General features: G+C 46.5%; 1 protein-coding gene across 13 annotated transcripts in view; it reads left to right on the forward strand.

Moving 5' to 3' along the window:
* WDFY4 (WDFY family member 4) overlaps positions 1 to 27,997 on the forward strand; it is a 298,084-nt gene that overhangs the window by 30,683 nt on the left and 239,404 nt on the right. For 11 of the 13 annotated variants that reach the window (XM_011539988.3, NM_001394531.1, NM_001370153.1 and 8 more), the window contains 10 exons: positions 4,456 to 4,570; positions 5,706 to 5,812; positions 7,878 to 8,012; positions 10,326 to 10,515; positions 11,915 to 12,104; positions 13,877 to 14,034; positions 15,555 to 16,007; positions 18,376 to 18,480; positions 20,325 to 20,515; positions 27,413 to 27,993. In XM_011539988.3, the coding sequence (XP_011538290.1) occupies positions 4,456 to 4,570; positions 5,706 to 5,812; positions 7,878 to 8,012; positions 10,326 to 10,515; positions 11,915 to 12,104; positions 13,877 to 14,034; positions 15,555 to 16,007; positions 18,376 to 18,480; positions 20,325 to 20,515; positions 27,413 to 27,993 (2,225 nt within the window). Of the gene's footprint in view, positions 1 to 4,455; positions 4,571 to 5,705; positions 5,813 to 7,877; positions 8,013 to 10,325; positions 10,516 to 11,914; positions 12,105 to 13,876; positions 14,035 to 15,554; positions 16,008 to 18,375; positions 18,481 to 20,324; positions 20,688 to 27,412; positions 27,994 to 27,997 lie in introns of those variants that run through there. The other 2 variants (NM_001370154.1, XM_047425566.1) reach the window with 2 other exon arrangements.

Consider the following 27,997-nt stretch of genomic DNA (forward strand, 5'->3'; position numbering starts at 1 on the left):
GATCTAACTGATAGTTGAAGAAAGATAAACACCATTAAATACAATAGCAAAGATGACCAAGAATTATTTTTTTATTTTTTTTATTTTTTGAGAGGGAGTCTCACTCTGTCTCCCAGGTGGAGTGCAGTGGCCCGATCTCGGCTCACTGCAAGCTCCGCCTCCCAGATTCATGCCATTCTCCTGCCTCAGCCTCCTGAGTAGCTGGGACTACAGGCGCCGGCCACCACTCCTGGCTAATTTTTCTTTTCTTTTCTTTTTTTTTTTTTTGTATTTTTAGTAGAGACGGGGTTTCACCATGTTAGCCAGGATGGTCTCAGTCTCCTGACCTTGTGATCCACCTGCCTCGGCCTCCCAAAGTGCTGGGTTTACAGGTGTGAGCCACCGCGCCCGGCCACCAACAATTATTTTTAGATGTGGTGTCCTGAGGGGACAGTAAGGGTAAGCCCTCCTCTTTGTCCACTCCTGACTCTACCCCATCTTGGAGTGGGACCTGCAACATGGTTTATTCCCATCTTCGGGAAATAACACTTTTTAGCAAAGTTTTGATGCGCCATTTTTTTTTCAACAGAGGAGAGGGTCTACTGCATCACACTCGCAGGGAAACTTCATGCAAAGTCTCAGAAATGTTTTGAGCTCACTTAAAGACAAACCTGCCAAACTCTGCAGTAATGGAGTAATAATGACATTTTGTTCGTGCTGGAATACCAACCATGTTCTCTTTGTCATTCAAAAGCTGGGTTTTTCCTCTCATCTCCCCTAGAGCTTAGCCATTCTTTATTTTCCTTTGGAGACCAGAGCATCATTTTCTTTCTCTTTCTTCCATGTGAAGGGACAGCCATGAGGCACGATGGTGCAGCTTAGATAATGTTAGCAAATAAAAGTTTTTTAAAATATTGAGCAATATTCTCCCAGCATGTAAGTCCCAGTTTGGGAAAAAATTAGGGCCTTTTGGAAGCTGCCTTAACTCTTTGGGGTCCCCATGGTACCATTTAGTAAATGATTGGCTCTGTGCATCAAACAGCACCCCGGTGGCCTGAAAGAGTTAACGCAGCTTCCAGAAGTGCCCATCGAGGTCCCAGGAAGGAGTCTGGGCCTTGGGAGATCTGGCTCAGAGTACAATTACTGTTCAGCTCACAGTGGCCCAATTTGCTTTATTGTGGAGTGCCTCCTGGAGTCCCACTGCTCCAGAGACGATATAGATGCTTCTGAGTCAAATGCCTGCAAATTGGTCTTTGAGGGGTTTGTCAGTGCAGGGAGGAGTTGCAGGGATTTGTTAGAAATACATCGTAGCAGCGTTCTCATTTCTAGGGAGGGAAATCATCTCGCCACAGAAATTCCAAGGCAAAAGGACAGACTTTTTCTCTCCAGGGATTAACATGTCTGAGTGGCAGTTGGCTTGCAGGTGGCAGCTATAAGTTTCGTAGATGTGCGAATGCTACTTTGGGTATGTGCACGCATGTGTGAAGTAATTCAAACCTTGACTCTGCCACTTAACTGATTTCTCTTAAACTCCGGCTAAGCCTCAATTTCTATAAAGTAGGCATAGTAATAGTACAAACCTCAAAGGCTTGTGGTGAGGATTAGTGGAGCTAATGTATGGAAGTGTAATGCATAGTGTAAGTGTTTGGCATGGCACTGAGGCCCAAAACATTTAGTCATTGTTACTGTGTATCGTGGGTTTCATATTCGTTTCATTCACTTATCAAGTATGTGTTGGAGGTCTGCTATGTCCAACAGTGTTTAACAGTAATCCAACATTTTGGTTGTTTTAGCAAAGTTCTAACCCGCTACTTTAAAAAAATTTACATAAGCAAATGCCAACCAAGTCTATTTATATAGTAGAAAAAATTCAGATCCATACAAAATTTTGTTCAAAACACATGAGTACTCACAAACCAGTATATAATAAATAAAACATTTCAGGTAAACCAAGCTCCCTGTGTACACATTCTATAGCTCATTCCCCTCCCTTTTCCTCCAATGGGGTTCTCTCTCTTGAATTTGGGGTGCCTCATTCCCTGGGTGGATGTTCACTTCTATTAGCTACATATAAGGCCATCAGTAACATGCAATCTAGTCTTACAGGTTTTTATAGACTCATACTGTAATATACTTTTACAACTTGCTTTTTCCAGTCAACATTCTATTTCTGGGATTCATCCATGTTGATGCATCTAGCTCCATTTGTTTTTCAGTACTATATAGTATCCTATTATATAAATATACCACAAATTATTCATTGTCTTATCAAAGCATATTCAGTAATTTTTCCCTCAGTTTTTCACAGCCACAAATAGTGCCAGACAAATATTTCCTGTCCAGTACATGTGCCAGCATTTCTTTAGGGAATATACCTAGCAATGAAATTGCCAGGTGGTAGAGTGTGTGCCCCTGTAACTTTATTGGATCAGGTTAAACCCTTCTTCAAAGTGTTCTTCCAACCGATACTCTGTCAGTAGCACATGGGGGTTCCTGTGATTCCCCCCATTCTCCTACGTTTGGTATTGTCAGGTATTTCATTTTTGCCAACCCAAAACATATAAAATATTGAGGTTTCAATGTGCACTTTATGGATCATTAATAATTTGTTATTTATTTTGTCTTACATAAATGATCTTTTTTTCAGTTGTCTATTTTGTTCTTTTTCTAAAAACAAGTTGTTTGCTTTTTTCTCGTCTATTTTTAGGAGTCTGGATACTAATCCTCTGTCAGTGGCACGCATTGTGAATATTTTCTCCCAATTTGTGGCTTGCCTTTTCACTTTGTTTATAGAATCTTTTAATAAAGGGAAGATTTTTGAAGGCTTTTATGTTTTAACAAGCATAATGCTACAGCAAGACACACATTAAAAATGTTTTTCCTCTTGGATTTTGAAGCCCTTCTTATCTTTCCTAGATGGAAGAGCTCAGCTTAAAAAAGAACTCATTCAGGTCTTTGAGCAGGAGCTTAAGCGAAAGTGGACGGTGGGTGGTGCTAGGTGGAAGCGGGGCAGCAAAACTGCCTTCCGTGGAGGCCACGGATGCCCGGAATGTGCACAGCAGCTGACCTTCCTGGTGGGAACTAGGCACAGGGAATCTCTCAAGAACTCAAGTCCTGGACCTAGGGCAGTCCCTCCACTCTGGCCATTGGTCTGGAATGAGCCCTTCTCATCGCACGACTAGGAAACTTAGTCAGTCCTACTTAGCCAGTTCTACAACACAGTAGAACAAAGAGAAAAGGCCATCTGCTCAAAGACTTGGATGAAAAGCGGACTTACGAACAGGGCTGCTACAGAAATAGGGAGGGAATTCTGAAATAAGTCTGGCATTCCAAACAGAATTTTAAAACTCATGACTTCTACTAAATAGTATCCTAAATAATAAGGGGAAAAGTCTGCAGAAAAAGGTGATCAGGTGGGATAGAAATACAGAAGGGGCAGATAAGAAAGAATTTTAAGGAAACTGAAAAAGAGATTAAAAACAACAACTCGGACTGGAGAAGAATTTTTTAAGCCTGGAACTAAAGCCAGAAAATGTAAGAATAGATTGAGAAATTTGATTTCATAGGAATTTCAGATTTCTGTATAGCAAAACCAAACAATAACAAATTAAAAGACAAAATGACAAACTCAAAATAACTGCAGTTATATTATGGCCTATCTAACATTTTTTATATACAAAGAGCTCTTTTAAATAAATAATAGTAAAATCCCTAATAAAGTAATAGGGTAAGAATAGAAACAGGCAATCAAGAAACATGAAAAGAGGTTATCCACCCTAGGAATCAAAAGGCTGCCATTGAGATGAGATATTTTTTCGCTTCTGAAGTTTTTCATTAAGGATGAGAGAGCACAGCGATGCTCAGTGTTGCCGAGGGTGTAGAGAAACCTGTCTGCTCACGGGAGGCCTGGAGAGTCTAATCTGCTCAACTTTGTCTGGAAGCTGAGTTAGTAATATGTACTAAAGTGCTAGAAAATAAAAGCACACTCTTTCACTTGCAATCCCACTTTTTGGAATTTATCTAAAGGAAATAATCAAATGACTAAAACTGGGATATCTGTACAGGATTTGAAATGGTAAATGAGGAGAAACAGGAGGGGCTGGGTGAGGGCTGAGGAAGGGAGAAACCTGGAGAGGCACTCCTGGTGCTCCTATGGGGGCAGCAGGCACCTGGCAGGGCCATCCACCGACGCCAGATGCAGCAGGCTGTGGGGAAGGCGGTGGACTGGGCTCTGTGTGTTTGACATCTTAGGGGCTCGTGTTCAGGTGGATGTCTGAGCAGTTAGAGAATCTGGAGGCGTTGGTATAGGGATGATGGTTGAGGCTGTGAGGGTGGGTGACGTGGTGGCCTTTTGCATGCACCTGGGAAAGGAAGTCGAGCTGTCAGCTTGGGCTGGTGAAGGGTGGCATGGCAGGCAGTGCTCATGCCCTGCTTGTGGCATTGCTATCTCTGACCAAGTCCCATCTGTTGCTTCAGGCCTGGGAACACTCCGTGGGGATCATCTGCTTTCCCAGTCTCCAAAGGCTGGCTGAAGACGTGTCTGACCAGCTTGCCCAGCAACTCCAGAAGGCCCTTGTGGGGAAGCCTGCGGGTAAGAGCATGGAGGTGCTGGCAGACCCTCTACAGAGAGCAGTGCAGCCCTGCATGCCCTCCCAGGCCTCTCAGGCCCCCCTCTGCTTTCGCGTGGAGCTACAGTGTTGCCTGCCAAAGAGAAGTAGGCCCCACTCTGCCACTGAGTGCCTTAGGGACCAAGGGAAATGCAGGAGGAGGGAAGAGGGGTCGGGGAGCCCTGCTGTTCCTGGGACACAGACATAGACAAACACACACACTGCACATAATACATTATACACGGACACACATAGACACACTACACACAGATGCTATACACACACAGACACTACACACAGACATTATACACAGATACACATAGACACACAGAGATACAGAGACACATACACATACACTACACACACAGACATACACACTACACACAGACACATACAGAGACTACTCACAGAAACTACACACAGACACACACTCTACACATGCAGACACACCCAGAACACACTACACACAGATATACACATAGGCACACACACACAGACACACTGCAACACAGACACACACACAGAACACACGGGACCACGGTCTCTGGGAGGAAGTGCTAGGATTGAAGATGCACCTGTGTGTTCAGTGGAGCTCTTGGTCCTGAAAAGACACAGAGGCCAAAGTGCATCTCTTGTGGGGCCTCCTGACTTGCATTCTTCCCCTCATGTGCGCTGGTCCCTGGAGGCAGGGCAGAATTTCACAGTGGCTGAGGGCCGAGGGTCAGGAGGAAATTCTGAGGGGAAGAAATTGCTCAGCATGGTGTAGATTTCAGGAATTCTTGCAGCATAAGAGACTGTGTGATCCAGGAAGTAGGGGGAGATTCTGGATTGTGGGGAGTCTGATAGCCGATTAGCTTGTTCTTACTCATTGGCAATCAGGAACCACTGATGGTTGCTAAACGGGGACGGTGGCACAAAAAACGCTGTCTTCCAAGGAGATTAGTCTGGCAGGGTGTGGAGCGTTTGGTAGAGATGCAGGTGGCCTTGGGGATGTGTAGGCAAGATGCCAAAGTCCTCTACAGATGCTCAGGCACATCTCCTGGGAAGAGGGGGCCCTGGATGGAGGGGAAGCTGAGTGGGCAGGTCGCTGTATGCCCTGCTGGTGACACTTTCTTCCAGAGCAAGCTCGGTTGGCAGCTGGACAGTTGCTGTGGTGGAAGGGGGACGTGGATCAGGATGGCTACTTGCTCCTGAAGTCAGTGTACGTGCTCACGGGGACAGACTCGGTAAGTTTCAGACCATCAGCCTCTGCCCTGGGCACTGCTCATCTAGGTGCAGAGGGAGGTCCAGCACAGGGTGGTGGCATATCCCAAGAGGGTCATTCGTTTCATAAAACAGGTTTATTATTTCTCCTCCCTCCTCCCCTTCTGGTGTAGAACATGGACTTCAGAGTCTGAAATTCCCACCTTCCCAGTTGACAAGCTGTGTGTAACTGTGGCCAGATTGCTTTACCTTTCTGCCCCTTGGTTGCATTTCTAATTTTAGGATTGGGGATAATAATGCCTCTCTTCTGGGGTTAGTGTAGGATTGATAACGGCTGATGTTTATTGACTACTTCCTACCTGTGGGGCAAGGCTGGGTGTGTCCCAGACATCGTCAGTTAATCCTCCCAAGGACCCTATGAGTCAGATCTTGGTGATGCCAGTGAGTGATGAGAACGCAGGCTTACCTACGCTGTGCACCTGCAGTCTATCTGATTCTAGAACCCATGCTCTGAGCCACTGTTCTTTATTTCTTCCTGTTAGAGTCAGCCTGAACGACATTCCCTGTAGGTACCTGTCTCGCCCTCGCCCAGAGATGAGGGCTCTCCTCTTTCTTCCCTTCCCACCCATACCCACCGCATGCCAGGAACACAGCAGGGAACCTGGGTGGCTGCTGCCCTCAGTGTAACTTCTCCAAATTCTTCCAGCTTCTACCTGCTAGCCAGTTCCAAAGCTGCTTCACTAGATGAACCCAGACATGAGATGGGCATTTGCAGCCGTGCTTGGAAGGGTGATAGGAGCACATCACGCAGCCCTTGTCTGGGGCCAGGGGGTGGTACATGACCTGGGAAGTTAACTGAAGGGAGGACCTCCTGACACTTCTTCAGGTGAACTGCCTGCATCACTGTCAGGCACAGCGACCTGAAGCACAGCACGAGGGCGCATCACATGTGCCCCTGGGGGAAGGACTCTCTGCAGTCTAAGTGGTGACACTTTAACCTAAGGGCTTGTTTTTCACTGCCTGTGCATGGTGCATCGGGGGTGAGGTGGGGGAAGGACAGGGAGAGCTGCCCTGAGGAGGTCAAGGTTAACAAGGAGTCAAATACATAGAAGACAGTACATTGCACTGTAAACCTTTCTGGCCAAGGCTAGGACCAGCAGCCTGCATCTAGTCCTGATCCTGGCCCAGACTGTACATTCGTCCTTCTCTTTCTCTGACTTCCCCAACATGTCTGTCAGGTTAACCAGTGGAATGGGAAGTTGCATGGACAGCATTCCATAGGTTGACCCCAAAGGTGTTCACATGTGTGCATGCACACACACACGTGCACACACACATGCACACATGCATCATGCACACACACACACGTGCGTGCGCACACACGCACACACAGAGGGTGCAGGTGCAGTAATCCTGGTGGAGCTGCAGGCAAAGCCCCAGGAAGAAAGACCCCAGGAAGCTCCTGGCAGGCTGGTCTCCATCTCTGCAGAGTTCCTGTCCTCTTGGCCTCTGTCTGGCAGCCCTGAGCTGTTTAGTTGAGTTGCTGGCTGTCTGATTGTCAGTCATCACCTATTGCACTCTTTGGACCTTGACGAGATCTGTCTGGGATCTAGATGAGAGGTTGGGGAGGGGCCTGATCAGGTCCTCACCATTGTTGCTCACACACATATTATCAGCCTCACCTCTGGACTGCTTTCCCTTCCTAATCATGAGGCCCTGGACCACAGTCACACAGTATGATTTGTTAGGAAGCCCTTATGTTCTAATTTCTACAGTCCCTCCCCTTTTCCCTCCTTTCCACCCTCCCTCCCTCCCTCTCTCCCTCCCTCTCTCCCTCCCTTCCTTCCTTCCATCTATGAATCTTATAAAGGAGCTATAGAGCACATAGTAAGCACTTTATATAAACTTAATCTTCACAGCCACCCTAGGTGCATCCTCTGGTTGTCAGCATTTCACACTTGAGGACTGGAGCCCAGAGGGACTGTCCCATGGCCTCACTGAAATGGCTGCAGGGGCCTGATCCTGGGTCTGGGCTGACCTGCTTCTGCTGCCTTGCTGCCTGGGGTCACGTGTGCTCTTCTCTTGCAGGAGACGCTGGGCAGGGTTGCTGAGTCTGGGCTTCCAGCCCTGCTCCTACAGTGCCTTTACCTCTTCTTTGTCTTTCCTCTGGACAAAGATGAGCTTCTTGAGAGTGATCTTCAAGTTCAAAAGATGTTCGTGCAGGTGAGTTCAAGGAGGGCCTCCAATTCCCTGGGTCAAAACCTCACTTCGGGGACAGACTCTCCAATGCTTCCCGTAGATGCTTTTGTCTTTCTCAGCCCTGGTTCCTGAACTCCTCTGTTCTCCCAGAGGGTCTAACCTCCCCCTCCCCTCCCCACCACTGCACAGTCTGCCCCACTAGCAAAATAGTAGCCAAAATTTTCTAAATATAAGCTTTGTACCCACCCCTGTGCCATGGCCTCACATGGGTCACCTCCAGGATTGCTGTCTGCCATCACAGGATGTAAATAGTGTTGTCATCCTGGGTCCATACAAACTGAGGCATGGTGAGTGAGCATGGGGTCTGGGGTCATAGAAGTCTTGGGTGGGGCTGGGATTGGCACCCTTGAGTAAACTTGAGTTTACATGTTCTCGGTGCCTCTTCCTTCCTCTCAGAAGACATCTCAGGCCTCTAAGCATCAAATGCAATTTCCTTCTGTCATTCCCCATCTTTCCTCTTCTCTTTGACTGACTAACTTCTCACCTCCTTCCCCTGCCCACTTCCGGGCAGTTTCTGCTTTCTCACCTTCTGAGACTCTGAGCTCTCTAGATAACCCTTCCTGCTCCCTGAGCTTGCAGGGGACGGTATGGAGGATCGTGTGGCCCGGGAGGATACAGAGGACTGTGGGGCCCGTCGCTGTGTGTCCAGTGTCTGCAGTGTCTCACACAGAGCAGGTGCCTGTGACTGTTCAGTGAATTCCCAAATGCAGCTGTCCATGGTACACACATGTCCACATTGGCATCCACATTAGACGAATTCCCAAGCCCATTCCTCATTTCCAGAGGGTAGTGCATGAGTTCTGGCAGGTTCCATTAACAGTGGGTTACCCTCTGAGCTGCATTTGTGGAAATGTAGGTGTCATCTGCTTGTATGTAAATCATATTCTAATTGGAGGCCAGGACGCTGCACCAGGCACTTTCACAAATGTTTACTGTGTGGCTTTTAGGTGCCCTGAAGGGAAGTAGTGCAGGGTCTGTCTTCGAGGTCTTCTGGGTATGTGGACAGAATGTGTGCCACAGGGAATAGACCATTCCTGCATTGCTCAAGGGTTTCTGTTACTTCATTTCACAAAAATATACAGAGCCCCTACTGTGCGCAGCTCTATGGCAGACAGATGGTTGCTGCAGCAAGCATAGGGCTTCACTTTGAGAGGTGACAGAAGGATGAAGAAGTCAAACAAGGGGAAAACAATCCAGGAATAAGTGTGTTGTTAGCAATTAAAAAAATAGAGATGGGGCTTTTCTCTGTTGCCCAGGCTGGAGTGCAGTAGTTAGCAATTTTTTAAGTGCTATGTAGGTAAAGCCAAAGGTATACTGGGCAATGATGGTGACAGGCTTTTATTTGTATGAGAGAAATCAGTGGAGTCTATTCTGAGGGCATGGCATTTAACCAGAGAGCTGAGGGTTGTCAGGGTCTGAGGAGGTAGTGTGGCCGGGTGGGGTGGAGGAAGTGGAGAGGAGCAGAGAAATGGCAATGCAAGCCCAGGGACAGGTGAGACCTTGGTCACATGGCCACAGCTACCTGCAAGGGAGGCAGGGAAATGGGACCTACAGCTGTGGTCCATGAAGCCCAGCTTCTCTCTGTATCAGACTAGAAGGGGAAAATGTCTTCCCATGGAAGTAGCTTGTGATATTTGTCACACTGGCAGCAGGTCCTGTTGGACCCCCAAGAGCCCAGGGGGGAGCTGCAGTGGATAAAGTGAGTGAGAAGGCAGTGCTAGTCCATGCAGGATGCTATGGGCCATGCTACGGTGGTGGGATTTTATCCCAAGTGGAGAGGGAGGTTTTGCAAGTCCCTCTGTTAGCCATCAGGAAAGGGGATTGGCGGGAACAAGGAACCCAGTTAGGAGGCTTTATGCTGACTCTTGTGGTCTCATGGAGAAGTAGAGTCTGAGTGTCAACAAGGAATTCTGAAACACTTCCCTTTTTAAATAGCACAAGGTTCTGTTAATTCTATACCTTAATTGTGGGTGACATTTTCTGGTATTCCCATTAAAAAGACACAAATTCAATTACTTCTTTATTATTCTGATTTGGAAGGGATAACAATTACTTGTATAGGGTTAATGCGGTCAGAATTGAGCCCCAGGCCCTGCCACCCTTTCCTAGGGGGCTCTGTTGACCCTGCTGGTCTGGGACAGAGGGTGACCCCATTCAATCCTGTCCTTCTCACAGAGACATGCTCATCAGTGCTCCAGAGAAGTAGGGAACAAATCCATCTGAGGAAGGAGACTTCCTAACCAGGTCTCCTTGACTGTTTATCTTCTTATTTTTCAGATGTTGCTCAATATTTGCAGTGACTCTCAGGGCCTGGAGGGACTCCTCTCAGGAAGTGAGCTGCAGTCTCTGCTGATTGCCACGACCTGCCTTCGGGAGCACAGCTGCTGCTTCTGGAAGGAACCCACCTTCTGCGTGCTAAGGGCAATCTCCAAGGCCCAGAACCTCAGCATCATCCAGTACCTGCAGGGTATGGCCCGGGAAATTAGATGTGGGCTGTGGGCCATGCAAGGGCTTCCCTTGAACTCAGAGCAAAGGCTGAGGGCCCACTTTCTACAATGAGACTTGGGATGCTCTTGCAGCCTCTTATAGAATTTTGGGACCAAAGAAGAGATGAATGAGCAGCCATGTCCGGTAGATAATTCTACATGGCTTGGCTCCCTTCATGTAAGTGCTTTTCTTGTTCATTTTGCTGCTCCATTGGAGAAAGCAGGGAAAGAGGATCTCACTATGCACACACTACCAATCAGACACTGTGCTGGGCCCCTTTGTACATTATCTTGCTTGTTTCTTTGAGATAGCTATTAATGCCATTTTAGAATGGGGAAAATAAACATTAAGACTAGTAGAAGAATTTTTCAAGGCTATTCACCTAGTTAGGAAGAGAATGCACTTTCAAACTTAAAGATGCCTGATTCCGGCACCCTCATTTATACACTGGGAACTATGTGTAGGGGTTAAGGCCAAAGACTCTGGAGCCAGACAGCCAGGACTGGACTCCAGCTCTGTCCTCGTAGCTGAGTGATCTCAGGCACTTAACCATTGGGGTGCCTCAGTTCTCTCATCCGTAAAGTGGGGATAATAATGCTGCTGATCTTATTGGATTGTTGTGATTCTTTGCGGCTCTTCTGAGTCCTTGCAGCTGAGAGGCTGAGCTTGCATTATCTCAAGCTCTCATAGGTACTTTCTCTGATCCACTGGATTGGCTTCCCCAGCACTCAGAAGAGGCTTCTCTTGATGAGAGATTTCTAAAAACAGTGACCCATCCAAATGCAAATCTGAGGACCTCTCTCTTCAGACTCAAATCTTCCCCTGGCTCCGCACCACTCTGGTGGGGTAGCCAGTAAGCCCCATGGCCTGTCCCCTAGGAATGGGCCACACCCTCCTTCCTCTCTGTGGGCCACACTTCAGTGTTCCAATCCCCTGGCTTCTTCAGTATCCAAAGCACCCCATCTTTTTACCCTCTGCCTCCTCACATGTTCATACATCCTCCCCTGCATTTTTCATCAAGGTAATTTCTGCTCAGCTCCAGCATTGCCTCCTTAAGGTCTGAGATGAGCTCAGGTCTTGCATTTTACATCTCACTACCTAATGGACCTGGACTCCCCCTTCTTGCTGAGAATTAGGGACAGAGGGCTGAGGGGCTGCCTTCCTCTCCTGTGTCACCTGCTGGGCTTGCAGAGTGCAGCTGTCAGGATGGCACTTTCTCTGGGGTGGTCTTCCTGATCCAAGAGCCAGCAGAACATGTTTTGGATTAATTCCCATTCATGTCTTGACATGTTGTTTGGAGTAGGGGAGGTAGGTGGACCATGGCAGGAAAGCTCTTGCTTCCAAGCTCAGCAGGTCTCTCCTGTGCTTCCCTCCTGCAGCCACAGACTGTGTCAGGCTCTCCCTCCAGAACCTCTCCAGGCTCACGGACACTCTCCCTGCCCCTGAAGTGAGCGAGGCTGTAAGCCTGATCTTGGGATTCGTGAAGGACTCCTACCCCGTCTCCTCGGCTCTGTTCCTGGAGTTTGAGAATTCAGAGGGCTATCCTCTGCTGCTCAAAGTGTTACTTCGGTAAGTGGCTGTGTTTGGTACGGGGAGAGCACAGGACCACCAAAGCCTTAGTCCTCAGAATCATTGGGGTGCTTTGCAGAAAAATAGATATAGCTCCATAGAACATGGCCAGAGAGACCTCTTATTTGCAAAAGTGATTCATTGTGCAGACAGGCATGGGGACCACTTCCTTAGAGAATCAGTAGTTTTACAAAGTGTACTTGTAGGCACCTGTCACCTGCATGCCTGCTGGCCTGATTTTCCCCGGTCAGAACCCAAACAGAAGCCCTGTCTGTTGGAGGGCTTCTGGCACTGCTGTAAGCTGCCCTGCCTGTGTGCTTGGAGGGCTGGAAAGGTCTGGAAATGAACCACCTTCAGGAGCAGCTGCCCACCAATGACTGAAGGTGCCAATGGGTGCACATCCAGCACAGCTGCCCTTGGGTGGGCTTGCTCTGCATGGCCTCCAGAGCTCCCCAGAAGGATTAGCTCCAGTGGCCCCATGAGGCGCTTGCTTGCTAATGCTCTTGGACTGGTTTCCTTCCCTTCCCTGTCTCACGTGGCCTCTCCCCTACTGGTGTTTTCTGGGATCAACTCCCAAGTGAACTACCTCTTTCTCAAATCCTTGAAACATGGGAAACCCAAGCTCAGACACCGTTCAGCAGGGCCTGGGCTGGCTCCTTGCCTTCCACTCTGCCTTCCTGTATCATCTTCGAGTGGGGCCCAGGGATTACAGACAGCAAGGGATGGAAATCAAAGAAATGCCTTGATGGCCCAAGCTCCTCTGCTGATCTTGGGGAAGCTGCTATAGGGCAAGGCCACATACTTTCCCTTGGGCTTTGCTGGGCGAGAATGAGACACCCTCCTCCTCTGAGGGGTATATCTACTACCGCACTTCACACACTTCACTACAGAGCCAGGCTTTGAGCCTACATGCGGTGACTTGGACAAGGGGGCCAAAGTCCTTTGGTCCACCAAGTGTCCAGAAGGATGTGATTAAATGGCAATACCCTAGTGCCTTCCTCCAAAGGGACGCTAAGTGTAAATGCCCCTCTGGGCACATCACATTTTGCATTGGTCTGGGCTGTGACCAGCTGACTATGATCCCCACGGAGGTCTGTGTCATAGCATTTCCTGAACAAATTTTTGGTTCATTGGGTGTTGAGTTTTCCCCAGAATTCTTGTGGAAGGCAGGAGAGGGGACAGAAACCTATTCCAGGGAGTGCCAAGAAGGTCCCACGTGGGCTCATTGGCTTTCCTTTTTGCCTTAACTGAAGTCACGCTGCAAGAACTTTTCCTCTGGAAATGGCAGGGCTGGAATAAGACTTGAGATGCCCTTCTCCACAAGAGGAGCAGGACAGCCTACCTGCCCATAATTAAAATACAAAAGCCACACTCAACCTTTAAATAAGCACAAGGAAGTCCGACTATTTCCCACACCATTTTGTTGCAATGTTGAACTATTATATTACATCTCTCCTTTGGGAGGTGCCCTGATCTGCTGATGCCCTAACCACATGTCTTTTGGAGGTTCAGTCATGGAAAGTGACTTCCTGTGAGCAGATGGCATAGCTTTTCACAGGTTACAAATGCACTTCTTTGGATCTAAGACTGACATCTGCAGAGTGGTGTTTATCCAGGGCGCTCCCTTGCCTCTGAATTGCCTCAGGTGCAGACCTGTGGGGTCTTCCCCAGCTTGCAGATCCCCATTGGCTCTGTCTCCTTGAGAGCACCATGCACGCATGTGGCTGCTCCATCTAGGAAGTACAGGGAGCTGGCCTCATCTGTTCCCCCAGGTATGATGGGCTGACCCAGAGCGAAGTGGACCCGCATCTGGAGGAGCTCCTTGGGCTGGTGGTGTGGCTGACAACCTGTGGGAGGTCAGAGCTGAAGGTGTTTGACAGCATCACTTACCCTCAGCTTGAAGGCTTCAAGTTCCATCATGAGGCATCTGGTGAGTCTTTCCTGTGTCTGGGTGACCGGAAGAGTCAGTGCTGAGCCCTGAGAAGGCTACAGAGGGTCTTCTCCTGATTCTTTGTGTACCTTTCAATGGTGCAGTAGGCTCTGATTCTGTCACAACCTTTGGGGAGGTTATGAATATCTCCCATGGGACTTAGTGGAAACATTGCTTAATAAAGGCAAAGACTCTCTCAAATAACGGAGGCAGCCTCTACTTCTCTCCCTCACCCCTGGGGTGATTTACTCTGCAACATTTGCTTATATAATGGGGACTGATGGCCCTAAAACAGCCATCCAGGTTCAGAGTCAGTGACTTCTCAGTACTTTGAGACATTGATTGATTGATGAACTCAATCAGCAGGCATGGATACTTTCTGTGTGGCAGGCACTCTGCCCCATGCTGGGTGCCAGTGTGAACAGGCCAGTTGTCTGCTCCCTAAAATTCCTCTGTAGAGACTGTCACATGTCCTTGAACCCTAGTCTGCTGGAGAATCGGCTAAGAAATGCATCAGGCACAGCCATGACCCAGCTCAGTCAGGAAACCTCGAACAGAGGGCCTGCCGGAGGGAGTTTTTAAGGCTAAGTGTGGGTTGTCTAGGTTGAGATGAAGGGAGAAAGTTTAAAGGCAGAAATGACAGTCTGGGGAATAAATGGTGGCCTGGAAGGCTGGGTGAGTCTGGGAAGTGAGAGCTTCTGCAGAATAGAGGCAGGGAGGCTGCAGTGCTGCAGAGTTCAGGTTAAGAAGGGCCATTGGATGGGATGCAGTAACACATGGGGCACAGACATGGTTTAGGGGAGTGCCTGAATCAGACAGGAGTTTCACAAACATCTCTGTTATCTGAGGCAGAGAAGGCTGGAGGCAGGGAGCTTTCTGACAAAGTGTCTCCTGGGGGAGAGAGAATGAGGCTTAACCTTCAAGCTGGAGGAAAAGGTAGGGGTGGGTCAGGAAAGTGTAATTATTTATCAGCTTGTCTAGAAACAAAACTGATTTTGCTAGTAATCTCCAACATCATTTGATTTTAATCCGCTGAAACCAATCCTCCTAGCCCAATGCTCTCCAATGGAAATACAATGCAATGCACGTTATATCATTTTAAATGTAAATTTTAACTTTAAATAAGAAGAAACAAGTTAAATTATTTTTGATAATATATTTTATTTAACTCAATATATCCCAAATATTACCATCTCAATGTATGGCCAATACAAATAATTGTCAACAAGATATTTTGCATCATTTCCTTTGTATTATCTTTTTGAAATCTAATGTGTATTTGATGTTCATGGCACATGTCAGTTCAGAGTGGCCACAGTTTGAGTGCATCTTGGACCATGCTGCACTAGCCTTCTTCATACCCCAGGTGGCTGGCTTTTCTGGACTTCTGATGGACATGTGCCCATAGGAGTTAGAACACAGAAACTTCAAATGGCATGCCCTCTTAGTAATGAAAACATCTATTTGTAGACACAGGCAGGAGAAATGACTTGTAAGATCATTCTTGTTTTCCTCCTCAGGGGTGACTGTTAAGAATCTTCAGGCCTTCCAGGTCCTACAGAATGTTTTCCACAAAGCCAGTGACTCTGTCCTCTGCATACAAGTCTTGTCAGTCATCAGGACCATGTGGGCCTGGAATGCTCGAAACTTCTTCCTGCTGGAGTGGACCCTGCAGCCCATCTCGCAGTTTGTAGAGATCATGCCCCTGAAGCCGGCCCCAGTGCAGGAACACTTCTTCCAGCTTCTAGAGGCCCTGGTGTTCGAGCTGCACTACGTGCCTCATGAGATCCTGCGAAAGGTACAGCATCTGATCAAGGAGAGCCCTGGGCCATCCTGCACCCTCATGGCCCTGCAGAGCATCCTCAGCATCGCTGGTGGGGACCCCCTCTTCACCGACATCTTCCGGGACTCAGGGCTCCTGGGCCTGCTACTGGCACAGCTTCGGAAGCAAGCCAAGATCATGAGGAAGTCAGGTGCCACTGGGTGCATTGGGAGGGATGGGCAGGGGTCAGTGTCAGCCAGGCCTGACCTTTGGGCCAATCTGGCTGCCCATCAAATGCAACAGAAAGTGAGCATGCCCATGTCACTGGGAAGGTATGCTTGGGACACACAGTTTCACAAAAGACAGGCAGCCACCCAGTCTTCCCAATGAAGAAGTGAAAGGGATGGGTGAACCTGGGGCTAACTCAGGCCTTGTGAATTCCCAGGTTTTAGATATCTCTTGTCCTAGACATTGTGTGGGTGTATAGACAGGGAGACTGCAGGGGTCTGACAGCTCCTCAGGAATGGGAGCTCAGAGAGGCCTGAGGTTTGGGGGCCCTCCTGGGGTCTGCTGGGATATGGCTTCCTAGCTCACTCTGTTCACTTTGCACTGTTGGCTCAGTGGTCTCCCACTGGGAGAGAGCTCCTTGGGGTCTTGCGGGCCCAGCACGCCCCTCCAAGTCTTGGTGCCCTGCTGGGCTGCATACCTGTGGCTCCTTGGCAACATTCCCTTGCCCCTACTTGGCCCCTGCACCCTGGAGTCTCAATCCCAATAGCCTCTGCTGTCCCCTGAGGCTTTAGGGTCTCATGAGGGTGCTTGGTGGCTCAGGGGTTGGGCTCTTGCACTGCCTCACCATGCTCCCCAGCACATATCCTGCTGGAGTCACTCTATGTGGTGGTCTTTAACTACCATCTCCGTTGACTTTCTGATAGGAAGCAAAGTGTGGAAACTCCTTCCCCAGCTCCTCTGGTCTTTCCCTCAGTCTGTCTACACCTGCTGCTCTGGGAAATCAGCCTGGAAGAGGGACACCAGGACACAAGAATCTGGATGCTTACTCTGCCCACCTTCCCTCCTTTCATTCTCCTTCTCCCACTGCACTGGCTGGAAGGGTCAGGGAGCTCTCTAGCCTTTGGCTGCTTCTGTAATTCTGCTTCAGACTTAAGCCAAGGTCACCAGTCTGTCTGTTTCCTGGGCCTCTCTGAGGGAAAGGAGCTAAGGGCTGGAATCCTGGCCATGCTACTGACAAACTGAGTGATCTTGAGAAAGTGACTTAACCCGTACGAGCCGTGTCTTCCTCGGTAAAACAGGGTAATGATGTTGACATCATTGGAATGTTGTGAGATTTTAACGAGGGAATCTCTGAAGAGGACCCACTGCTGTGCCTGGTACATAACAGGGGCTCAAGAAACATCAGTCGCCTTGTCCCTATAGTTCCAGTGCTACTGCCATAGACTGAGACAGACACCCAGGGAGGAGCTCAGGCGTCTTATGGAGGCCAGGATGGACCCAGCTCCTCCCTGGGAGTGTTTGCAAATAGGATCAGGACTGCGAAGGATGAGCCCAAGGGATGGTTTTTGTGTCTGGGCCTCTGGGCCAAGCCCTGGACAATATTTTATGAGTTGCTTTCTACTGCTTAGTAACTTCTGTCCTTAAATCCCATCTTGAATGAAATTAATGTATTGCTTCATCCGCTTTCCTTGGTGTTTAAATGAGAAGTCTTTGCACCGTCTCTTTGTTTGGTGGTTCTGTCTTATCTTAGCTGGTATTTCTTTTCAGCAGCCTAACATTGAATTTGCTTTTAAATGCAATTCCAGACCCATGACCACTCCTAGGAGAAATTAAACTTTTTTGTGAGCTCATGCATCTAGTCTTACTTCATACTTTCTATTGTTAAATGTGTCTTGTTGTTTCTTAGATACTCTGTCTCCTGGTTTATAAACTCTATTTTCATTCATTCATTCATTCATTCATTCCCCAAATAAGTATTGAGCTTCCAATTTGTGTCAGGCACTTTGCTGGCATGGGGATTCAAGGTGAATAAAGAGATCTGATTTTGCCCTCATGGGTCTACTGGGATCACCTATTTACTCCAGGTTCTCTTGAGCTTCCCCATGACTCAGGAATGAGCAGGCAGTCATCCCTCCCAAGGATGCATGGCAAACTGTAAAAGTGGCCAAAGGAAAATTAAGAAGGCAGGGCTCTGTGTATCATCTGGGGCAATGCTTCTCAAAGAGCAGTCCCTGGACCAGCCCCATCAGCATTGCTTGGGAACTTCTCAGAAATGCAAATTATAGAACCCCATCCAAGAACTACTACCTCAGAAATTCTGGGGATGGGACCCAGCATGGGGCTCCGGGTTTTAACAAAATAAGCCCTGCAGGGAATGCTGATGTGCTCAAAATGGAGAACCCCTGCTGTAGGGGTAACAGCCTTCTATCTTACTAATTGGGATACACACTCCCTTATGATGAAAGCATTATATTCACATCTCCTTAAGAGGATAGAAAGCTGGAGTCAGAGATTTGCGGTCATACCACATGTACTTAATTTATTTTGTTATTTCTTCTTCAATATGGCAGGAAACAAAGTGTCCACTCCTGGTGTTCAGGATCCAGAAAGAGAACTCACCTGTGTGATGCTGAGGATTGTAGTCACACTTCTGAAAGGCTCGGTGAGGAATGCAGGTAAGGATGGTGCCAAGTTTGCCTCATCACTGCTTGGTAAAACATGAACTCTTTCCTGGTTATTTATGGCAGTGTTCACAGGTTATACTCAAGGAGTAACCAATACACAGCGTTAGCTGTGGCTAATGATCCTCTCTTGGCCGATGTTCAGTGATCATCAGTAAATTCGTAGATACTATACCTCTGTTGACACTTTTCACTTCTAAGGTTGCTAAATAAAGTTGGTGACAAAAAGACTATGCTCAATCTAGCATTTTCTAAATTTATGAGAAAAATTTATTAGTGTCCTGCTGCACTGACTGTAGATGCTTTTTAATTTTTTTTTAGATCCAAAGAGTAACATACGGGCAAAGAAATCTAGCCATTTTAAAGAAATGCAATTTGTTGTGCTCTCATCAGACATGATGCACTTAGCAATGTAATCCATTCAAATTTTCTTTTAGCGTCCTAAGATCATGTGGCTTCTGGGTTTTAAAAATAATATGTGCATATATATATATATATATATAATGACATAGACACACCAACATCATATCAGTGGGTTTGGTGATTTAGGCATCTTTATCTGAGGCCTTCACAGAGTAACTATACCTAATGTAAAAAATTATTTCATTATGGCAGAGAGAGAGTCTTTAACATTTAGTCTGCAAAAGGTTCCCCGGAGGTGCTGGCTAAATGCATATTCCTAGGCTCACAGCCAGACCTTTAATTAATGGTCAGTCAAGGTGGAGCTCAGGAATCTACTTTTTTTTTTTTTTTGAGGCAGAGTCTCACTCTGTCACCAGGCTGGAGTGCAGTGGCATGATCTTGGCTCACTGTACCCTCCACCCTCAGGGTTCAGGCAATTTACCTGCCTCAACCTCCCGAGTAGCTGGGACTACAGGCGCACGCCGCCATGCACGGCTAATTTTTTTTTTTTTTTTTTTTGGTATTTTAGTAGAGACGGGGCTTTACCATGTTGACCAGGCTGGTCTCAAACTCCTGAGCTCAGGCGATCTGCCTGCCTCAGTCTCCCAATGTGCTAGGATTACAGGCGTGAGCCACCACGCCTGGCCAGGAATCTACTTTTAAACATGCTTTCAAGGTGATTTCCATGTCAGAGGTACCTAGCCCATAATTGGAAAAATCCTGTCTGCTCAAATCTCCATCAAGCCATTTGAAGGATCCAGTTGCCTCCTAGTTTTTATTCCACATGGATTACTCCAATATCAATCCTGGGGAAAAAATGCTTGGAATTACTTTTAAACAAAAATATATCACCTGTCAGGTTTCTTTAATTTTCTCCCCAAGGAACTATCTAGAAATTAAATATATTCTTAGCTTAAATTGTGGTTTGCTTTCTATATGAATTTTGTCAGAGAGAAGACAGAAAATTGTCATTGGCTCTGGGGAAGAAATTATGGGGAAATCAAGGGAGAGGTAGATCTAGTTAAAGCTTTTATTACTTAGGTTTCTATTTTTTTTTCTTTTTTTACCCCAGGAATTCATGACACTATTATTAACTTTAGTCACCATGTTGTACAATAGATCTCTTAAACTTATTTCTCCTTTCTTGAATGTATCTCCTATGGGGAGATGTTAGTCATTTTTTTTTTCAAAAATAAGATTCTCATTGGAGAAGAAAGCAGTTTTTTAAAAAAATCATCAGATCCACAGTTTCTTTTTTCTGCTTCTCACTTTAACAGTGGGTATGGGTTACCAAAAAATCTACCAGTGAGCAAAAGAGAAACAAAAAATAGCAAAATGAAGTTTGAAAATTATAAGACAAAGCTTTTCTTTTGATTGAAACTGAAGTGGCAAGCTTCCCCCTTGCCCTAGCCCCATTCTGTCTGTCTGATCCTTAGTTGTCCTGAAGGACCACGGCATGGTGCCCTTCATCAAGATCTTCCTGGATGACGAGTGCTACCGGGAGGCCTCGCTCAGCATCTTGGAGCAGCTCTCAGCCATCAACGCCGAGGAGTACATGAGCATCATTGTGGGTGCTCTATGCTCATCCACTCAAGGGGAGCTGCAGCTGAAACTGGATCTCCTGAAGGTGATTTCAAGTCCTCCTTTGAGATTGGCTTCCCTGTGGATATGCACCAAGCGATCCACATTTGCTCAGGCATTTGTATTCATGTAATTCAGTTAGCCACTGTATGTGGCAGGCAGTACCCTGTATTAGGTAGCGTCAGGTGCTGTAACAAATAAATCCCATATCCTCAGTAGCCTGGTACATTTGAAATTTCTTTGCAACATACAGTCCAGTCAATGATTGGTGACTGTCATTAAGGAACTACCATCACCTGGGCATCTAACTTGGCCAGCAGACAAGGGAAGAGAGACCATGGGGAACTGCATAAGGCATTTTCATTCAGGCCTAGAACTGGCACGGGTTATTTTCTGTCCAATTTTCTTTAGGAAGAACTTTGGGCAGGACTCACCTGGATGCAAGGGATGCTAGGAAATGTTTTCCCTGGCTAGGCAGCTACTTCCCACAACACTGTAAACTATGGAAGTGCAGCTCAAATCAGCAATGGCCAAGTAGCTGCCTTGTTGATCTGATGAGCATTTATTGAGCATCTAACCCATTACCAGGGCTGATGAAGAGTACCTGGGGCTTATAGTCAATTGTGATACAACCCTTGCCCTCTGGGAGCTCATAGCCTGTTTCTAATAAGTAAGCAATAGTTACATTGCAGTGTGGTGGGTGCATTGGTTAGACACTGAGGGCAGGTTGCTATGGGAACACAGAAGTAGGAGAGACCAATGCTGCCTTACCTGGTTGAGGAAGGCCCACTGGGGAGAGAACCTGTGAGCTGTGAAAAAGAAGCAAAAGGCAGTCAGAGGTGTGGAAACACGGGGCACAAAGGGACAAGTGAGGCAGGGTTATCATGTTTGGGCAACAGAGATATAAGTGTATGTGTTTGTAATATTGTTAACATTCATCAATTTATCTTAAAATAGTTAAATACATATAACAAATATCATTCTTGCCATCTCTTCTGCCTTACAACTTTCACAGTTTTGTTGCTGTTCCTTTTTTACATAGCTTTTGTCTTTGTGAGTTTATGACTTTTAAAAAGGATTGCTTGAGTGATCCTCCCACCTCAGGCTCCTAAGTAGCTAGAACTATAGACATGTGCCACCACGCTTGGCTAATTTTTGTATTCTTTGCACACAGGGGGTCTTGTTATGTTATCTAGTCTGGTCTTCAACTTCTGACCTCAAGCAGTTCTCCCACCTCAGCCTCCCAAAGTGCTAGGATCATAGGTGTGGGCCACCGTGCCTGGCCAACACGCTCATGTTTCATTAACATGATATATTTGATTGTTGGTGAATTAAAAAAAAAAGTGAAGTTGCTCTGATTTCCAAAATTAGGTCAATCATCAACCTAACTTACTTAAGCCTATCTCTATGCAAAACCTTTTTAACATTTAGAGAATGGTGTTTGTTTCATCATACTTACTTTATTTCTCTGCACATTCGATGTCAGACATTGATGTGAGCTGTTCCAGTTATTATGTGGCCTAAACCAGCAGTGATTGGTGTGGCCAAAGCATTGCGTGGTCCATCCAAAAGTGGCGTCATGACCATAATCATCATGTTTCACAGATGACAAGAACCCAGCCAGTGATTTAATTGCAGGGCCATAGAATCAGTGGAAGTGATTTGTACGAAACAAAAAAAGGAAAGTTAAATACCTTTTGAAAGACACTTGAATCCCATGATTACTTGAGGTAAGGGAAGTGAGAGGGATGGGTGAAGCAGAGAGTAGGGTAAGGGAGAGATATATCAAAAATAAAGAAAATACCAGAGCTAGGAATTACCTTAGATTCATGTGGTCCAATCTCTTAATGTTAAAGGCAGAGAGACATCCAGAGAGCTTCATTGACTAAATTAATATTGCATAACTGCTAAATGGTGAAGTTGAGTTTGAATCTAAGGTGAGCAACTGAAAACTGAGAGTTCACTCCACTTCACTGCGCTGTTTGGTACATTTTCCTTCATATGTCCATGTTCAGCGTGACTGGCATGTTCTGGCAGGATAGGAACAGGGAAGGCATGTCCTAACCAGTCAGGCTTGTGATTTTCTATTGGGTGAATAATTGTTCCTGACAGTACCATATCAAAAGCCAAACAGATCCACAGAGAGGAAAGTTTTGCTTTTACTTTGCTTGAAGAGTAAAAGTATTTTTGTGTCCAATGTAGAAAAGAGTGATCTGCTTTGCTCATAGAAAGTTCCTTTTGTTTACTCTGTAGCCCAGAGGCATCGTATTGGAGTGTCAGCCCTTGGGCAATAGGACTAAATGTCTAGAATTAGTAATGTAAAGTCGTTATGGTGTTTTACAGATTCAATATCATTTCAGAATCACAGTTATCAAGAGAGCACATAAGGGAAGAACACTGGTGAGCTTATTTAATGAAGTCATAGCCTGCACTCAATGTGCTATCTTCTCCCTGGGTGCCAAGTCACTGCTGGGCAGTTGGAGGGCCCAGGAGCTGGCATTGTTTTCCAAGGGCTAGGGCTGTCACACTGCTGCTCTAGGGGGCACTTGGGAGGAATGGAACCTCTTCCAGACTCGCCCACCACTGAGTCACATGAGCAAGTGGTGAAGGTTTGCTGGAATCAGATGTGAGATCTACATTTGTTTCTAAGTCATCATGGGAACCCCCTGAAACTTTGGAACGAAGATGCTAAGTGAATTGCTTCTCACTGGATCTCTCTCTTTAGAAGGTGAGAGCCAACTCTGCCCATAGGGACTGTTTCTACAAAGTGTGTCTGAGTGGGATGAGAGGGTGCCCCTTCTTATAAAGGTTTCCCATCTCCGAAGGGCATTCACAGCATGCCATCACTCTGCATCCCTTCCCTGTGGTCTGTCTGCCAGCCACTCTGGAGAAGCAACTTAGGGCAGTTATTTCAAACACCAGTGGCACTTCCATACCAACACTGAAGAACATGTGACTTCACCACCTAATTCTGGCAAATGATAACTGAGTTAAAGAATAATGTAAGCAAATGAATTTCCTCTCCTTGGCCGGTGGGACTGTGATTGGGTTATGCACAAATTCAGATTGATTTGCTAATATACATTTAGCTGTTCAACTCTGAGCTTAATTGCATTACCTCACCGGTATTCCACCATGACACATGGAAAATTATGAGGAATAACAAATAATAGAATGTGAAATAAATCCTGTTAGTCCTAACGTAGTTAGCGCTTTACAGCAGACATCCATTTTATAGATTCAAGCTGGAGGAATACTAACTCAGAGACGATGACTTGGTAACTGAGTTAGGATGAGAAAATGTGCTTAACGCTGACCTTTCTTGAAATGTGTCAACCCCAGCCTGATTACTTTGACTTCAGCTGATTAAATTTACTCCCCTCCGCAGACTGAAAACCCTATGTGATGCATTATCATGCAAAGTTGAATGACAGTAATGGAGACCCTCCTCCTAGACTCCCCGTTCCTGACAAATCATTTCCCGAAGTAGAGAAGTATTTATTTTCCTTTATGATAGAAATGTTTCTCTTTAGTTGCTATGAAATTAAGCCTTTGTAATTGGATTTTGGACTCTTTACTTTATGACTCTGCAAATATGAAATTAACCCCATCCCAAGAAATAATAGAGGAGTCTAAGTTCTAATGAGATTACCCCCATTTTAGATAATGACTCTGAATTTAATAAATCAAACAAAGCAACAATTAAGGACAGCCATTCCTTCCTCCTCTCCCTCCCAAGAGGAGGAAAAGAAAATAACCATCTAGGAATTATAGGTGACAAACCCACTGAGAGACACAGATCATAATGAGGGTGATTATTGGGTTGCTTTGCTTTTTAAAATATCTGCTTCAACACTCTTTGAGTGATGGAGTTCTTTTAAGCAATATTCAGCATCAAATTGGACAACTGAATTGGGAGGGGGTTCCTTGGGGGAAGAGGGGTTTATAGTGGTCACCCAGCACTCAGGCGATTGTCTGTAATCTGATCAGTTTTGTTTTTTAATCATTCTCCCTTCCTGATGTTTGTTTTGTCGTGTGTTATGTGACTAACAGAAGCGCTTATTCATTCCATTTGCCTTAAACAAAGCTCCTAGAGGTCTTAGAGCCATTGAAAGCACTCACATAAATTTAGTCTGTTTAACATTGTAGAGCTTAAGATTTCCTTTGTGACGGATTGACTTTTCATGGCATGTGTCACGTGACCAGGCATAGGTCAGGTTCAGACGCGTGCCGTACCACATCGCAGTGAACAGCCTTTGGTATGGTTTATCAGTTAGAAAGGAGGGACCAAAACCACCACACACACGTCAAGGTTGGAGTGAGTTTCCAACTCAACCATAAAAATAACATTTTTTTGGAAGTGAGTTGCTCACATAAGGCAGGCACAGATGCAGCATAGCTGCCTTAGCCTTTCCTGACCCTGGGGCCTCCAGGATGGGGCAGGGACAGGCAGCTGCTGTGACTCTGTCTACACAGGGAAAGGCCTTGCCCAACTTAAGCCATGAGCTTTCACTTATGCACACTGAGTACCACCATCCTGGAGGAACCTACTCCAACAATCCACATGCTTTGCTTTGAGGGTGTGTCTACAAATGTCCAACTTTCCTGGGTTTTCGGCCAAATTCAGAAAGAATTAGGCCACATCCTCACTCGGGAGGAGAAAGCAGTATCATTGCCCCCATCTTTCAGGTGGCCTGGGAAGTCAATTTCCCTGAAGTCTTTCCCACGATTCACACTTGACTGCCCCCTTTAGTGGGTGGCCTTGATGCTGGGTTTCTTTCAAAGAGCAAAACGACAATTCAATTCCCTGCAGTGTCCCTCTGAGAAGTGGTGAGGTATCACAGATCTAACCACTGTGAGTAGTGTGTTTTCTTTTTCTATAACTGGGAAAAGATCAATTGGCCTGTATTGGTAAGGATGAATCTTTCTACCTCACTTTATGTTATTTGTCTATTTTGAATATAATTATGGACTTTGGTCTTTCATAGATTCTCCTAGTAACTGCAATCTGTTTTGTTTTTTAAATTTCTGGAAATGTCATAGATGGGGCCCTGGAAGCCCTTTATGCATATCCTTGGCTGCTGTTTCTCTTCATCTTTGAAAGAATCCTCGCCTGTGTGCACTAAGAGAGTTCAGGCTCCTCCTGTGTTCTCTGACCTGGAATGTGAGACTGACTACTCGCCCAGCAGCTCAGGTTTCCTGTAGTGGAATATAACATTAGAGAATAAAATCCCAGTGGTTGGAACACACATTCTATTGTTTCAAATAAACACCACTGTTAGGTTAGGGTGCCAGCATTTAAGAGATGGAGCTGGATACTCAGGAAGCTGAGGCAGGAGAATCACTTGAACTGGGGAGGCAGAGGTTACATTGAGCCAAGATCTCGCCACTACACTCCAGCCTGGGTGACAGAGCAAGACTCCGTCTCAAAAAAAAAAAAAAAAAAAAAAAAAAAATGGAGCTCCCAAAGTGCATGACTTCATGTTTGACAGTGACCTGTAACTTTACTAAGTTTCTATTAACTAAAAAGAATTTAAATATCTAGACCCTTCCCACATGTTTTTCTGAGCTACCAGTTTTCTCTTTTTCACTAACTTCCACGTATCATACTACAGACTGTTGCTTAGGCCATGCATTTAAGTCACAGCATCACCCCTCCCCCAGATAGGGAGTGTCTATTTTATTTTTTCTCTGTGAACCTTGTCTCAGGCCTCCTGAAACTGACTCCACACTGTGCCTTCTCAGACAATCCCCTTCCCTGTCACACTAGAGCATTAAATACCTGAAAAGATAAAACAATTCACACCTCTCTCCGCAGTCTACTAAGGAACCCACAAGGTTGTCCACTCTCTAGGAAACACACATCAAATGCCTGAGTTTTAGATGGAGTCCAATGCAATTTATCTGATCAATAAATAAGTACTAAAAATTACAGACTTTTAATACTTATTTAAAATCGTCCCTGTGTTTTTCACATTTCGATGAAGCACAGTATGAGAACTGCTTAAATGTAGCCCCCCCTCCCTCTCTCTCTTCCTCCCTCCTTCCTTCCAATAGCATGTACTGATTACCTAGAGTATATACCATGCACTGGGCCCAAGTAAGTAAGTGCTCAAGAAAGGTTTGATTTTAGAAGGAAATAAAAGCTTGGCTGGCCAGTACAGCTCTCAGTGATCTGGAGGGTGGTGGATTCCACGATGTATCCTATCAGTGGCCTAATTGCTTTCTGCACACTTGGCCTATGCTATGTGTTATACCTATGCATTTCATTCCATTGCAGGTTTCTCTTCTCTTTCTGACACACTCTTTTCACACCACATTTTAAGTTGATTCATTTTACTGTTTCCCCTCATCTAATATAACCGATGAAGCCGTGCTTGCACAGAGAGGGAGATAAGGAATAACAAGCTGCTTCTATGAGGATTTCACTGTGTGTCTCCTGTACAGTATAAGAGATGGTTCATCCCACTCATTTAGCAAATTGTCATTAAGTGTGTGCTGTGTTCCACAGTAGTAAGGAAGCCAGATATGGTTTCCATCTCGTGGAGCTTCAGTCTGGTGGAGAGCTGAGACGGTTTTCAAGTAGCTGCAGTAGAGTATGACGAGAGTTTTGATCAGGGAATGAGAGGGGGATGTGTGAGCACTCGACCTGGGATGAGTATGAGCTACAGGACAGAAGCTTTCTGGAAGGATATGCATTCATGTCAAAAAACAGGACAGTTAAATCAACCGTATAGATTAGTGTAGTAGGCACACATGGAAAACCTAAACCGTAAGAGGAACAATATGGAGATCCCAATGTTTCAGAGTGATCCTTCCTGTAACTTGTTGGCCTGAAGTCGTTGAGGGAAGAGCTAGTGGGACGCTCTGGCAGGAATGTGTGTGGGCTCAGGGTTAATCTACCTCCTGGAGTGCACTCATTTTGATTTGCTTGGTGTTTCAGTCTCTGCTCCGGATCCTGGTGACCCCCAAGGGTCGTGCTGCCTTCAGAGTCTCCAGCGGGTTCAACGGGCTGCTGTCTCTGCTCTCTGACCTGGAAGGCTCCCTCCAGGAGCCCCCGCTGCAGGCATGGGGAGCAGTATCCCCCAGACAGACCCTGGAGCTGGTTTTGTACACTCTCTGTGCTGTGTCCGCAGCGCTGCACTGGGACCCTGTCAATGGCTACTTCTTCAGGAGGAATGGGCTCTTTGAGAAGCTGGCCGAGGACCTCTGCCTGCTGGGCTGTTTTGGAGCCCTGGAGGAAGAGGGCAACCTGCTGCGCTCTTGGGTGGACACAAAGGCCAGGCCATTTGCAGATTTGCTGGGCACTGCCTTTTCCTCCAGCGGCTCACTCCCACCCCGGATACAGAGCTGCCTCCAGATCCTTGGCTTTCTGGACAGCATGGCCAGCGGCACCCTCCACTTGCGTGGGGACCTGAAGGAGTCCCTGAGGACCAAGCAGGGGCCGGTTGTGGATGTTCAGAAGGGAGAAACTGGCAGTGACCCCCAACGCAACTTCAAGCAGTGGCCAGACCTGGAGGAGAGGTAG

The sequence above is a fragment of the Homo sapiens genome, chromosome 10 (assembly GCF_000001405.40).
Source record: "Homo sapiens chromosome 10, GRCh38.p14 Primary Assembly".
NCBI classification, from domain to species: Eukaryota; Metazoa; Chordata; class Mammalia; order Primates; family Hominidae; genus Homo; species Homo sapiens.